Consider the following 15,967-nt stretch of genomic DNA (forward strand, 5'->3'; position numbering starts at 1 on the left):
GAGCCACTTTGGTGTGGAATGTAGCTTGTCCTCTAATCTTACTGACAAAGGAACCAAGGAAGATAGATGCTGGTACTGAGAATTTATGATTTTTAGGAAAATGAATAAATCTCTTGGTGATAATATGAGAATCTAAGGCCATATGAGCTGCAGTAAAAACTGGAGGTCCCTGAAGGTGGTCACAGCCTGAATCTTTCTTGAGAATCATGATGATATTTATTTAAGATGCACTAAGATTTTGAATTACCTGCTTGGCTCCACCCTCTTCCTTGCCCAACCTCTGTATGTTCAAAGCGGATCTGGAGACTTAACAGAACATTAAAGTGGATTAAAAGTAGCCTATTGTCCAGCAGAAGGCTGAGGGGTCGATGAAGGGCAGGGAGGATCACTGGGTGGCTTCATAGCCTCTCCCCTCCTGCACACACCTCCACTGCACTCCTTCCATCAAGAGGAGTCACCAGGGCACTTAGACTGGATTTAATCACTGTCTGATGGGACTGACTTTACTCAGTTGAATTAAACAAACAAAAAAACCCTAAGTTTTGTGAATGTGTTTTGTTGTTTACAAGTATTTTATTTGCACATCAAATTAATATGACCATAGAAAAATGTTAATGGCATCATTTTTCTATGCAATCAAAAGATGCATATAAACATATTGTACATCTTTAGTGATTAGTGTAACCAGCTCCCTATGTTAGACATTTAACTTGTTTAGTTTTCCTCTAGAAGAAACTAGAAACATCTTTTAAAGTTAATTCTGTATGTACAAGTGTAATTTTTAAAAACCTTTATTATGAAAAATTTCAAACATATGCAAAAGTAGAAGGAATAGGGAACAAATCTCCACAAATGCATGAATTTAGTTTCAACAGTGATGGTTCATCTCATCTATACTGTCCCATTATGCCCTGCCAAGTATCTCGAAGCAAATTCCAGGCATCACATCATTTGAACCTTAGTTCGAACTAGTGTGCACTTCTAAAAAAAAATCTTCTTCCTCTCCTCCTCCTTCTACTCCTCCATCTTCTTCTTCCTCCTTCTTCCTCTTCCTCTTCATCTTCTCCTCCTCCCCCTCCTCTTTCTCCCCTTCATCTCCTTCTCCTTCTTATTCTATTTTTTCCCCCCTCCAAAGAGACAAGGTCTTGCTCTGTTGCCCAGGCTGGAATGCAGTAGCACAATCACAGCTCACTTCAGCCTCGAATTCCTGGGTTCAAGTGATCCTCCTGCCTTAGCCTTCCAAGTAACTAGGACTGTAGGTGCATGCCACCATGCCCAGTTAATTTTCTTAAAATTAAGAATTCTTTATACAAACTGTGATAGTTTCTCATGTTTAAACCATATGTGTATTGTAGAAAAAAGTGGGAAGACTAGGTGGCTCTATTAGCTCGCTCTCTCTCTTTTTTTTTTCTGAAATGGAGTCTTGTTCTGTTGCCCGGGCTGGAGTGCAGTGATGCGATATCAGCTAACCACAACCTCTGCCTCCCAGGTTCAAGCGATTCTCCTGCCTCAGCCTCCCAAGTAGCTGGAATTACACGCACCCACCACCACTCCCAGCTGATTTTCATAGTTTTAGTAGAGACACAGTTTTGCCATGTTGGCCATGATGATTTCGAACTCCTGACCCCAGGTGATCTGTCTGCCTCAGCCTCCCAAAGTGCTGGGATTACAGGTGTGAGCCACCGTGCCCGGCCTCTATTAGCTTTCTGTTGCTACATAACAAGTAACTTAAACTTAGTGGGTTAAAAGTACACACATTTTGGCTGGACGTGGTGGCTTACACCTGTAATTCCAGTACTTTGTGAGGCTGAGGTGGGTGGATCACTTGAGATCAGGAGTTCGAGACCAGCCTGACCAATATGGTAAAACTCTGTCTCTACTGAAAATACACACGCGTGCACACACACACACACACACACACACACACACACGCAATTAGCTGGGCCTGGTGGTGTGTGCCTGTAGTCCCAGCTACTCAGGAATCTGAGACAGGAGAATTGCTTGAACCTGGGAGGTGGAGGTTGCAGTGAGCCAAGATTGCACCACTGCACTCCAGCCTGCGTGACAGAGTGGGACTTCCTCTAATAAAGGGGGAAAAAAACCCACAAAAAATGACACACATTTCTTATCTCACAGTTTCCATGGGCCAGGAGTCCAGGCACAGCTTAGTGGAGTGTCTGCTTCAGGGTCTCAGAAAGCAGTGATCAAGGTGTTGGCCAGAGCTGCAGTCTCATTCAAGGCATGGGGTCCTCCTTTAAGCTCACCTGGCTGTTGGCAGAATTCAGAAGCTACTCATAGTTCCCACCACACAGCCCTCTCAATAGACCCCATCACAACACACAGCTTGCTTCTTCCAGCTAACAAGGGAGAGAAGTCTCCGACGTCAGGCAAGGTCCAGTCTCTCTTTTAAGAACTTTCACTTGATTAAGTCAGGCCCAACCAGGATAATCACTCTTTTTTTTTTTTTTTGAGACAGAGTCTTGATCTGTCACTGAGGCTGGAGGGCAGTGGCACGATCATAGCTCACTGCAGCCTCAAACTCCTGGGCTCAAGTGATCCTCCTGCTCCAGTCTCCCAAGAAGCTGGGACTGTGGGCGCTTGCCACCACACTTGGCTGATTTTTGTCTTGTTTTGTGATTTTTAGTGGACACAAGGTCCCTCTATGTTGTCCTGGCTGGTCTCAAGCTCCTGAGCTCAAGCGATCCTCCCACCTCAGCCTTCCACATTCTTTTGATTAAATAAAAATCACTGATGTGGGACCTTAATTATACCTGCAAAATCCTTTTACTTTTCCTATATTCTGTTGTGTAGATGTCAGTCACAGGTCCTACTTGTACTGAAGGGGTGGAGACTACACAAAGGCATTAGCAATAACCAAGAAGCAAATAATATCCGAAATTCTATCCTACTACTAATTTAGGGCAGGAGTTGGCAAACTCTTTTTGTAAGGGGTTGGATAGTAAATATGTCAGGCTTTGTGGACCAGATGGTCTTTGTTGCAACTGTTGGGCTCTGCTATTGTAACAGGAAAGCACCCACAGATAGTATGTAAATGAATGGGTGTAGCTGTGTTCCAACAAAGCCATTTATAAAAACGGGGTGGCCAGCACTTTGGGAGGCTGAGGTGGGTGGATCATTTGAGGCCGGGAGTTTGAGACCAGCCTGGGCAACATGGCAAAACCCCATCTCTACAAAATAATACAAAAGTTAGCTGGGTGTGGTGGTGCGCACCTTTAGTCCCAGCTACTTGGGAGGTTGAGGTGGGTGAATCCCTTGAGCCCAGGAGGCCGAGGCTGCAGTGAGCCTTGATTGTGCCACTGCATTCAAGCCTGGGTGACAGAGTGAGATCCTGTCTCAGAAAAACAAAAACAAGTGGTAGGTCACGTTTGGTCAGTGGGCTGTAGTTTGGCGACCCCTGGCTTAGGGTATGTGATATTCTAATATACTTTTTTCTCCTTAAAAGTACACACCCACATTCAAAACCACTGACTATGATACTATTTTATAACCTACTGGGTTGGTATCAACTCTTATGGGCACTAGATGAAAATGATATCTAAAAGTTTCTTATTATTTTGAGACAGAGTTTCACTCTTGTCACCCAGGCTGGAGTGCAATGATGTGACTTCAGCTCACTGCAAGCTCTGCCTACCAGATTCAAGTGATTCTCCTGCCTCAGCCTCCCAAGCAGCTGGACTTACAGGTGTCTGCCACCACGCCTGGCTAATTTTTGTATTGTTAGTAGAGACAGGGTTTTACCATGTTGGCCAGGCTGGTCTCGAACTCCTGACCTCGAGTGATCCACCCGCCTTGACCTCCCAAATGCCTCAGCCTCCCAAAGTGCTTGGCCTCCCAAGGGCGTGAGCCACTATGCCTGGCCCAATATATTTCTTGTAGAGCTTGCCTTGAGAGCATTATTGATTCCCTCTCTTAATAATTCCTAATTCCTACCATAAAGGTGAACTTTTTTTTTTTTTTTTTGAGATGGAGCTTCGCTCTTGTGGCCCAGGCTGGAGTGAAGTGGTGCGATCTTGGCTCATGGCAACCTCTGCCTCCCAGGTTCAAGTGATTCTCCTGTCTCAGCCTCCCGAGTAGCTGGGATTACAGGCATGCACCACCATGCCCAGCTAATTTTTCTTTTTTTTTTGTATTTTTAATAGAGATGGTGTTTCATCATGTTGGCCAGGCTGGTCTCAAACTCCTTACCTCAGGGGATCCACCTGCCTCGGCCTCCCAAAGTGCTGGGATTACAGGCATGAGCCACCGCACCTGGCTGAATAACTTTTTTTGAAACTTAGTGCCAACAGAAAATTTGCTTCCCCTGACTAACTGATTTTTTAATTCTATTACAAAAATTCTATAACTCACCATATATCTCTTTGTATTTTGGCTTCCAGGAAGCTCAGAGTCTAAGTGAAACCTGATTATGGAACTATAAAGACCTGAGAGTTTGCATATTATTCTTATCTGCCCAGGCATGCTATTTTATCCTTACTTTAATTCACTGTGTTTCTCCACTATTATTTTATTGTGTAAACAAACTCCTTTGTGGAATAACATAGAGTAAAAATATAAACTTCTGTTCATTGAACTAGAAGGAAGCACTGAATTTATATGCATAATAGCTCCAAATTAGAAACAGCCCAAATGTACATTAAGAGGAGAATTAATATATTGTGGTATAATCATATGATGGAATTTTATATAGCAACAAAAAAGACCAACTACTGATACATGCTACAGTGTGGAAGAACCTCATTGATACTGTGCTGAGCAGAAGAAGTCAGGCACAAAAGAGTAGAGATGGCATGGTTCTATTTAAGTCCAAGGGCCCATAACATGAATCAGAATTGGTGAAAGTCAGGTGATTGCCTTGGAAAGGGATGATTTCTTGGTCAGTGTCAAGAGGAAACCTTGTGAGGTGCTAGAAATATCCTGTATCTTGAACAGAGCTGGTATGGAGTGTATACCCATGTTAAAAAAAATTACTAAAGTGTAAACTTAGGATTAGTACACATTATGCATTTTGCTTTGTGTATATATATCCTCCCCATGAAAGAGAACTACTTAAAATATAGTTTCTTGCTCATTTCCCTTCTATGTTTATGCAAAAGCGTCTATTGGGAAAAAACTTTAAAACCAACAATCTCAAAAGTGTGTAACTTTTAAAATTTCTGAAGTTCATAAGTTAGCAGCAATTGTACACTTTTATTACACTACCTCTTAAGTGCATAGCTGAAAATATATGTAAAGATAGCTTCTGAACCACAACAAAAGAGTCAAAGCCTATGGTTGTACTATTTGTTCCCTTCATAATGTGGCTGAGAGGGTGAGTGGGAGTTGGAGTTGGCTTTAGGCCACTTGCCAAGCTCAGCCCCTGAAGGCAGTGGCTGTCTATAGTGGCATCTTTTATAATTTGCACAAAAATACTTTTTCTAATTTGCACTTCAAGGCACAGGTCTGTAGCAGCCCTGCACAAAGATGATACTTATGGTATAATGTTAATTTTTAGGACTAACTGTATTTGGTCATCTTTAGAATGGAAGCCAGCCTCTGCTTGGGTCTTTGCAATCTAAGGGATATTTTAGAAACTAGAATAGGAAGAGTCAATATCAATTTCCTCTCACTTTTGATGTCTGTATTATGCTTAGGGATGTTAAGAATACAATCTCTAGTTGGCCTAGTAAAGGCTTAATGGGGCAGAGCCACATGGAGTTTGAGGAAGAATGAATTTTTGCTGACCTAAGAGATCCATACTTTTAGCTGAGGTCTCTTGGAAAGATTGAGTTCATCTTGACTCTAAAAGTGGTCAGAGTGGCCATCACTTAGAAGAGACCATGTGAGTGGAAGGTGAAAGGAAGCATCGAATCAAATCTATCCTAGCAGAAACACAAGTGTCCAGGAAAGAAAGCAACAAGAAAAACAAAAAGCAGATTGAGATCAAAAAAGACACTTAGCATTTTTATAGATACACATTTCAGGTTGCAGTTTACCTCATCAAACAGGTAAATGGAGACCATTAAGACCCACCTCTTACCCAGATATGTAAGACTAAAGCTAAACCATATTGAAATATTAATACACACTGCACTGCTGCTCAGTTTATACTTGCCTTTTCTCATCTGATATGAGACACACTGGAATTACAAGTAGGTTCAAAGTTTTCTCCATCACAATAAAATGGTGTGTCCGGAAATAATAATGAAAAAGTCCAAACAATATGTTTTGGTAAGTCCAATGAAAGATTACTCATATGACTCTAGCTTAAGGTTAAGAAAAAAAATATAGTACCTATTTTGGGTACTTCAGATATATTTTGGTAAAATTTGGACTTAAACATACAGATAACTGGTATTGCTCTTTTTTTTTTTTTTTTTTTTTTGGAGACGGTGTCTCACTCTGTCACCTAGGAGTGCAGTGGCATATTCTCGGCTCACTGCAACCTCTGCCTCCCAGGTTCAAGCAATTCTCATGCCTCAGTCTCCCGAGTAGCTGGGATTACAGGCATGCGCCACCACACCCAGCTAATTTTTTTGTATTTTTAGTAGAGATGGGGTTTCCCCAAGTTGGCCAGGCTAATCTGGAACTCCTGAGCTCAGGTGATCCACCCACCTCGGCCTCCCAAAGTGCTGGGATTACAGGCGTGAGCCACTGCGCCTGGCCTGGTGTTGCTCTTAAGACTCTTGTTGGAGGAAGTTTGCTGTGTAGTGCTGTTAACTCAGCCCTTTTAAAGTAATGGAGAAATAATTTTCTGCTAAAAATTTTAGATGTTAGGATCTCTTCCTTCTCCAGCAAAACAATCTGAACACACTCACCATGATGAAAAGCCTATTGGGTTTTTGCTCCTTGAACACACTCCTGGATTTGTTGATGAACTCCAGACTTGGTCAAGTTTTCTTTGTGTCAGACCCACTTAAAATTGGCTTAAGCAGAAAATAAAATTTACCAAGAAGATCTTAGCCATGCAATCTGGGTTCCAGTTTCAGATTTCTGGGAGAGAAACTTGATTGACCCAGCTTGGGCCAGGTCCCCAGCCCTGAGGCCATTACCTATGGCTGGTGGCAGAGTCAGATGGTCCTAATGTAGCTATGGGGTTCATCTGTGGGAGTCTTAATTCTCAGCAGATACAGGTAAATGCTAGGAAGATATCTCCAAAGTTGTTCACTATAACTCAAGGATTCTCTACGCTCTCAACTCAGCCCCCACGTTGACAGTAAGTATTAAGCTGACCAGCATCCCTATTGGACACCATTCCTAATGGGGCTTGGGTTTCCACATTTCCTCTTTGTTTCTTTATCACAGAAGCCAGCCCCAGAATCAAGTCCATGCCTGAAGTTATTGGGCAGGAAGTTATGGGGATAGAGTAGGTGGGTGACCAGTCCTAGGCTAAAACCTTTTGTGATTTTGAAAAGCATTTGTTTCTCATTGCCTAAGTGGCTATCTTTATCTGAAAATAGTTTGTTTACTTAAATTTTAAATCTTGCAAGGTGTGGTGAGATTTTGTGTTTATATGTGAATTTAATCTTCTTTGTGGGCCCAGAATTTTAAAAACTGTTTTAAATTGAATGGAGAATGGCATGGTTCTTGAAAGCAGACTGATTGTGTTTAGCCCAGCTGGCTCTTGGTGATGGCAAGCACACATTTCCCATTTCTAAGTAGGCTTGATTCTTGACAATCACATTGACAGGGACTCCCTCTTTTCTTTTCTCTTCTTTTCTTTCTCCCTTCCTTTCCCTTCACTTCCCTTCTCCTTCCTTCCTTCCTTCCTTTCCTTTCCTTTCCTTTCTCTCTCTCTCTTTCTTTCAATTCATTATGGTGGTTTATTTTGTGGAGTTCATAAAAGAACTCCAGGGACAAGATTGCTTTGACCTGTAGAGCTCAGATGTTTTCTAAACCTTTGATTTCTACTTTTTAATCTTAAAATGCAGTCTAGATTTCTGTAGCACTTTTGCCTGTTTTGCTCATGAGAAGACCTCCCTGGTTGATGTTCCTAGGATACAGCTAGCATGGGTTCACTTTTGTCTACTTCTTCAGTGCCTGTGGTTGACCAGGCATTTTACTGGATATAAAACAGTAAGAAGTCTCTGGTCAGAAAAGATACCCGTGAGAGTTGAGTGTATGTCTTAGTCTGTTCAGGTTGCTATAGCAAAATACCACAGACCCAGGTGGCTTATAAACAATAGAGCTTTATTTCTCCTAGTTCTGGAGTCTGGGAAGTCCAAGGTCAGGGCACTGGCAGGTTTGGTGTCTGGTGAGGGCCCACTTTCTGGCTCATAGACAATGACTTCTTGCTGTGTCCTCGTTGGAGAAAAAGAGAGAGCCTCCCTCTTGGGTCTTTTTTATAAGGGCACTAATCCCATTCATGAGGGCTCCACCCTTATGACCTCAGCACATCCCAAAGTCCCCACTGCCTAATACCATCACCTTGGAGGAAAGGATTTCAACATAGGAATTTGGGGGGGACACAAACATTCAGGTCATAGTGAGATGTAAATGCATCAGTGCCCTATTCTAGGAGAAGAACTGCATGACAACATCAAGGCTGTGGCAATAACACAAGGGAGGCAGGTGACAACATCAAAGCTGTGGCAATAACACAAGGGAGGGAGGGCCCACTCGGTATGGGGCGTTGTGAAGGGCTTCACAGTGGACATGGAACCATCTCCTCTCTTGTTCATGCCAACCCAGACAATCACCAGTGGAGGTCCCCAACCTCCCTTCCTCATCTCCTGATTGTGTTGGGCTCTAGCCCTGAAAACTATGTTCCATGGCTTGGTGCCAAGACCCTCTTCTCATATGAGTGCTTTAGCGGGCAGGTTGGGAGGGAACACTGCTGTCCACTGTTCTGGGAAGTCCAAGGCCCGACATCCTCTGGGTAAGTTTTCCCAGCATCCTGGAACTTGAATTTGTAGATAAGGCGAGATGAATAGTTCAGGCTTAACTCACTCTAATTTAGCTGAGTAGACAAATGAAAGCAAAACACACGCAGCACAGCACAACCGAACTCAGCCCAGCACAACACAAAACCTCCACTAAACCTAGAATCACAGTCAGCAGCCTGTCACAGTGGTGAAGCCCTAACACGATAATTTTGTCTAATCCCACCTGGTTCAAAGATCACAAAGCAAATTCTAGCCAGAACACTTGAAGTCGGGGGGCACAAGGGCTTTCACATGCACTTATGAGGCAAACTACAGTGAAGAGTAAGTGCAGACGAGCTTCTCAGTACTGAGCTGATCGCTGTAAGAAATCTGGCAAAACTTCCCAAGTCTCTGTATTTAGGGCGGAAAAAAATAGCAGCAGCAGAGACAAGCTAATATCAAAGGCAATTTATAATCAGCTATTTTGGAGGTTTTTCTGGGCACCTCCTACACTTACTTGAATCTTGGAGAGTGGAGAGTACTGTAAGTGCTTCTATCTATATCTGTGTTTATCCAAGCCCCAAAAATCAGGCCATCAACAAAAGAGAACCCTACTTTGGTCACTGACAGCAGCTGTACAGTTCCTAGCCTCACTGGCTTTGGTTCCCTTATTTTTAAAATGGGGACAATAACGTTGAGAGAATAAAGATAAAATATGGGAAGTTCTGAGCACAGAGCTTGGAACACAGTAGACACTCAAACCTGGTAGTTATTGTTTTCATACCAGCAAAGAAAAGCCTGACAGCTGTCTAACTCCTTGCTACTCTAAGTGTGGAACACAGACCCGAGCCAGCTGGCAGATTGTTGGTTACCAGTCTCCAATGACATTAGCACTGAGATGGAGAGGCAGCACTTGAAACTTTGAAATTTGGCAGAGTAATTTTATGTGTGTTGAATCTAGTAATAAAATAGCTGGTCTTGTATTTTGTTTGTATTTGTGCCTTTTCTGAAGTTTATTTTGTTGGGCCAGGCATGGTGGCTCATGTCTATACTCCTGGCACTTTGGAAGGCCAAGGCAGGCAGATCACCTGAGGTCAGGAGTTCGAGACCAGCCTGGCCAACATGGTGAAACCCCATCTCTACTAAAAATACAAAAAATTAGCCAGGCGTGGTGGTGCATGCCTGTAGTCACAGCTACTCGGGAAGCTGAAGCATGAGAATCGCTTGAAACTGGGAGGCGGAGGTTGCAGTGAGCAAAGATTGCACCACTGTACTCCAGCCTGGGTGACACAGCTAAACTCCATCTCAAAAAATAAATAAAATAATGTTTATTTTTTTGATAATTTGTAGTATTTACAAAAGTCTGAGTCTACAACAGTTTGCAAGTATAAGAAACTCATCCTTCCCTACAGGTAGTTTGAGAAGCACTGTTGTAGTTCATTCATTACCCACCACCTCACTTACTAAAACCCCAGCCCCAAATGCCTTTGCATCATTTAGGGAACCTACAGAGCATCTCATGTGTGCTCACAACCATTCCTCTTGGCTACCTCCTATCCTTCCTCTCCACTGTGCTATCGTTATGCTGGTCAGGGTGCACCTATCATGGTGCCTTGTTCTCTTCTTTCGTTCACTGCAGCAACTTCTCTATCCTGCCCTGGTCATCACCAGGGAAAAGCTTTCCCTGACCTTGGGACGCTATGACTTCCTCATTAAGCATAACTTCTCTGTACCTTTCATGGTGTAGATTCTAGAGATAAAGCTTTTACTCAACTCATTATAGCCACCCTCAACTTTGGAAACTTGACAGGTGTCCTAGGCCCTGGACCAGGAGGAATTTGGATTTCGGCACATTATATCAAAGCCATCCTTCTTGTTCTCTTCCCAACTTGAACATTTTGTCTCTCTTCCCTCAGGGTGTATTTTTCCTCCCCATTTGGGTGACTACTTCCTAAGTTGAGCAGTGGTCATCTTTCTCCAACTTCTGGGTGGAAGAGTCATGCTCCTGCACTCCAACCGCCAGGCGTGGCATGAAAGGAGATCGTCTCTCCTATACCCCAGCCAGTCATGCCACACCTCAACCAGGCTGGTCCTTATTCCTTATTTTCACCTGCTGGCCTGCAGGCTGGGGTCATTTTGGGGGGCTTTCTAAGATACCACCCTGTGTTGCCTTCTGGAATGACAGATTGATTGCACTGATGGATCCTCCCTGTATCCACACCTCCCTGTATCCAAGCCCTTTGCTAGTGGCCTTCCACACTGACTCTAGGCTTGGCAATGTGACTTTTGCCAATGGGATAAAACAAACTTGATACAACTAGAGACTTGAAGAAGCACTTGGGCACTTCTTTTTCCTTTCTTGGGCCCTGCTGCTGCCATAAAAAATACCTTGAAATAGCATGCTGGGGGAAAATGACTGACACATTGAAAATGTCAAGTGACTGACACAGTGAAAATGTGAAGTCACATTGAAAATGACTGACACATTGAAAAGAGTCAAGTAATCCTAAACCAGCCAGCCTAAACCAGCCAGCCCCTTTGACCCACAGATGACCCACATATGTGACCACAGATGACCCTTTGACCCACAGATGACCACAGATGCATGAGCCAAGATCAGCTGGCCAGCTGAGCAAAAGATTCATGAGAAATAACAAGTGCTATTTTAAGTAACTGAATTTTGGGGGATAGTTTTAAGCCACTTGATTTTTTAGGATAGTTCGTTACACAGAAGTAGCTAACTGATATACAGTCATCCCTTGGTATCTATGGGGAATTGGTTCCAGGAGCCCCCACAAATACCGAAATCCATGAATGCTCAAGTTCCTTATATAAAATTGTGTAGTATTTGCATGTAACCTACACGTATCCTTTTTTATGCTTTAAATCATCTCTAGATTACTCATAATATCAAATACAATGTAAATGCTATGTAAATAGTTGTATTGTTTAGGGAATAATGACAAGAAAAAAGTCTGTACATGTTCAGTACAGATGCAACTATCCGTTTACTAAAAAAAATTTTGATCCTCAGTTGGTAGAATACACAAATATAGAACCCATGAATATGGAGGGCCAACTGTAACAGGTATTTTTATTTAAGTGAAATCAAGTTAAAATGATCATTCATTAAGAGCATTCAAAAGGCTGAGCTACAGGAAGGACATGTGAGAAATGGAGGAGGCAAAAACCCTTTTCCTGGGGTATAGTTTTCTCTTTAAAGTATTATGAATGGATTGTATGCCTATAAACCTTTGGGATTTTTTTTTTTTTTTAAATAAGCTCTTTCTTCCTTATCTTTGTCACTTCCCTGTGTTCCTTGGAGTTGGGAGGCCTGGACAGATTAATATATATTTTGCTGGCAGATGATGCAATCCATGAGCTCCTGGAGCAAGAGCAAGATTCAGCTTTGTTGGAAGGGCTCCCCGGAAGAGAATGTGAGGGTACAGTGAGTTTCCTTAAATAAAGAGTGAATTTTTCTTTTAAAACGTTGAGCTTTTCCTGAAGTATTTTTGCTGAGGTTGGCATCATGTGCTTAGGGTTAGTTCCCATGTTTTAAAATCTTGTCTTTATGCGAAGAGGAGTAATTACTAAGTTAAAATAACCCCTCACTTCCTTCTTTTTAGAGTGACCTGATGTTATTTCCTTATTAAGGAAATTGAATGACCTGTAGCCACACATTTGTATTTGGGGTGGGGGTCGAGAATTGCATGAAGACTTTTGTTGGACACTTTTACTGTTCCCTAAATGGAACGTCTGGATAAACAAATGATTTAGCTGGGAGAAAAATTGAACCTTTTAGAAAAATCCAGAGAATGTCTAATGAGAATATGAGCTTGTTTCAGGGATGTGAGAAGACTGACTGGAATTAACACCAAAGAACTAACACAAATATAGCCGAGATCACAATAGTTTATTATGTAACTAAGATGTGCCTGTACCTGGCAGAAAAGGATAGAGAAATAAGATCAGGTGAATATTTATTATGTTACCTAAAACAGCTTCATTGTTATTTTCCATGTGCTATATTCTAAATAGTATAGTCCTATACTTCCCTTAGGCGGTTCCTAAAACCTGATTTCCAAATATTCCCTTTATTTCCTACTATTACCTTTTCAGCCAATACAATGTTATTTTCTCCAATAGTATCTGAACAAACATGGAAATCCATGGATTTATGTCAAATTAATGAAAAATGAATGAGCAGCCCATGGATGACATCTAATACCTGTATTCCCTGGTCACATACATATAATTTTAGGTGTATACTTTTCTTTTCTTTTCTTTTCTTTTTTTTTTTTTTTGAGACAGAGTCTCACTCTGTCACCCAGGCTGGAGTGCAGTGGTGCAATCTCGGCTCACTTCAACCTCTGCTCCTCGGTTTAAGTGATTCTCCTGCCTCAGCCTCCTGTGTAGCTGAGATTACACGTGCACGCTACCATGCCCGGCTAATTTTAGCATTTTTAGTAGAGACGGGGTTTCACCATGTTGGCCAGGCTGGTCTTGAACTCCTGACTTCAAGTGATCCTCCTGCCTCAGTCTCTTAAAGTACTGGGATTACAGGCAGTAGCTACTGCGCCCGGGCTTAAAATTTTCTTAATTTACTGGTTATATCTATAAAGGTGAGTTATCCTTTTGCAGAAAGTATTTGATTCTGAAGTTGATTCTACAGTCTTTCAGCACCTTTAGCAGTTTCATCTGTTTCCATAATGTAGTTGGTCCATTTTGACTAAAATGATTTGATTCTTTGAAAACATATCAAATTTAAATGATAAATATTGAATAATCCTTTTTGTGGGGGGGGTTAGAAAGGCATCTTGTTAAATTCTGTATGAGCTATTACTTTCAGTTCAACAACTGAACAAATATTGAATGTAGGGCACTGTGCCAGACCCTGCATGAAGATTTAAAGGCAGATGTTGTTTCAGTTTATGGGTATGATTGAACATGAATAATTTATTTTTCATTTTTGTTTTTGATATTTTAAATTATTACTTTTAATATATTGTTGGGAATAGATACCACTTACACATAATATAAAAGAGCAAAGGTGAAAGGTAAGACAAATTTGCTTTCTTTATCTATCAGGAACCTAGTAATTGGAGGCAACTACTGTAGCCTTCCCAAAGTAATTCATGCATCTAAAAGCCAACACACTTGTTTGTGTTGTTACTGTTACACAAATGGTATCATATCATGTATATTGTTCTGCACCGTGCCTTTTAAAAAGCTTACTATATATTGGAGATCTTGCCATATCTGAACAGGTAGAATATGTCTCGATCTTTCTAACAACTGCAAAATACTTTATTGCATGAAGGTGTCACACTTGGTTTAATCAGCCATTTATTGATGGCAGTCAGGTTGTTTCCAGTCTTTTGCTATTATAAACAAGGTTGCCATTGTTTTGCCCTGCATATAACTTATTTTACATGCAATGTAACATAAAAGTGTATATGCCCTAAACATTTCCGCAGATGAAGAAAACATGGGAACAACTCAGAATCTCTTTTCACTCTTTTGCTTTAAAATTTCATCTTTTCAGTTTCCCTGAAAATAAATATTTCATTCAGTTGTTTTTGTTTTCAAACTTCTTGAAAACTTTAAATCAGATATTTTGAAATTCTGGAAGCCCCAAACTGTATCATAGTGTGGACATCTAACCAATAGCTTTGCAGGCCAGTGCTTCTCAAACTATCTGTGGTGAAAACTAGTTTTCCTTTTTATTTGTTTTATTATTTAAAAAATTTTCCCATCCATCACAGTCCAATATCACTGTGTGGCTCACACCACATGCCACTCATCATGAGACAGATGATGTTCACGTTCAAGCTGGCCTCTATCTTGGTTCAAGAAACAATTAAGTTACTGATCACGCGCTTGGATGTCGTGTCAATGTCAAATTCTGATAAAAGTTTGTAGTCACTCTCTCTTAGTTTCTGATCACAGACCAGTTATAATTTGTGAATGGACTGAGTAGCAGTGTTGTAGGACACAAGATTGAATGCCTCCTAATCACTCTTGGTCTCAGCCTCTAGGAGGAAAACGCTGTTCTGAAAGAAGACCGTATTTCTCTGAATGGACAAAGTCACACTGAATAAAGAGCAAATTTTGTTTTCAGGGTCTTACATACATTCTTTCTTGGTCACTTCCTGCTCTAAAAATTATATTCAAGAGAAAGTCACCTTGGCCAAATATATATTCACGACAATGATTATCAAGGCCTCTCATTCCACACGTAAGCAAACTCAAAATTATGGTTGGGGCAGGGCACGGTGGCCCACGCCTGTAATCCCACCACTTTGGAAGGCTGAGGCAGGTGGATCACCTGAGGTCGGGAGTTTGAGACCAGCTTGGCCGACATAGTGAAACCCTGTCTCTACTAAAAATACAAAAATTAGCCAGGTGTGGTAGTGCACATCTGTAATCCCAGCTACTTGGGAGGCTGAGGCAGGACAATCACTTGAACCTGGGAGGTGGAGGTTGCAATGAGCTGAGAACATGCCATTGCACTCCAGCCTGGGTGACAGCGTGAGACTCTTGTCTCAAAAAAAAAAAAAAAAAAAATTGTGGTTGGTCATGGAAAAACACATTTTCTTAACTGAAGTCATTGCAGATCACTAAGGGCTCCACTGAGGATATATTAATAATGTTCTTTTGAAAAGCCTGGGGAACTCTTATGAGAAAAGAAAAACTCAAGGACTCGTTTTCCTGTTTTTCGAACCTTTTTTTTTTTACCCGTTTTCTTTAAAATAGAGAATCAAAATATGCACGAGCTACGGCTCTCTTTATATGTGAGTGCTAGTGCCAGGGCCAGGAAGTTCTCAAGGTGTTAATGCCACAGCAATGACCAACATTTCCTTGCTTTCTGTAACGAGTGAAAAGAGAGTGAAGGACTCTAGAGGCTGACTACAGAGTGCTGACCACATGGTAAACCTGAGTCCAAACTTGAGAAAAAAAAGCAACTTTTCTATAACAGAAGCATCACTAAAATAAAAAGCATTCATGTAATTATATTATCAGCCCTTTCCATCTCCTGGGACAAAGAGAAATATTAATTAAAAAAGATAAACTTTGTAGTCTGGAACATATGGAGCCTGAGTGCT

General features: G+C 41.5%; 1 long non-coding RNA gene across 11 annotated transcripts in view; it reads left to right on the top strand.

The window, feature by feature from the left end:
• The window catches only part of LOC102724036 (uncharacterized), a 247,231-nt gene that overhangs the window by 17,397 nt on the left and 213,867 nt on the right, over window positions 1-15,967 (top strand). The window lies entirely within an intron of this gene.

This window comes from Homo sapiens, chromosome 9, assembly GCF_000001405.40.
Source record: "Homo sapiens chromosome 9, GRCh38.p14 Primary Assembly".
In the NCBI taxonomy this organism is placed as follows: domain Eukaryota; kingdom Metazoa; phylum Chordata; class Mammalia; order Primates; family Hominidae; genus Homo; species Homo sapiens.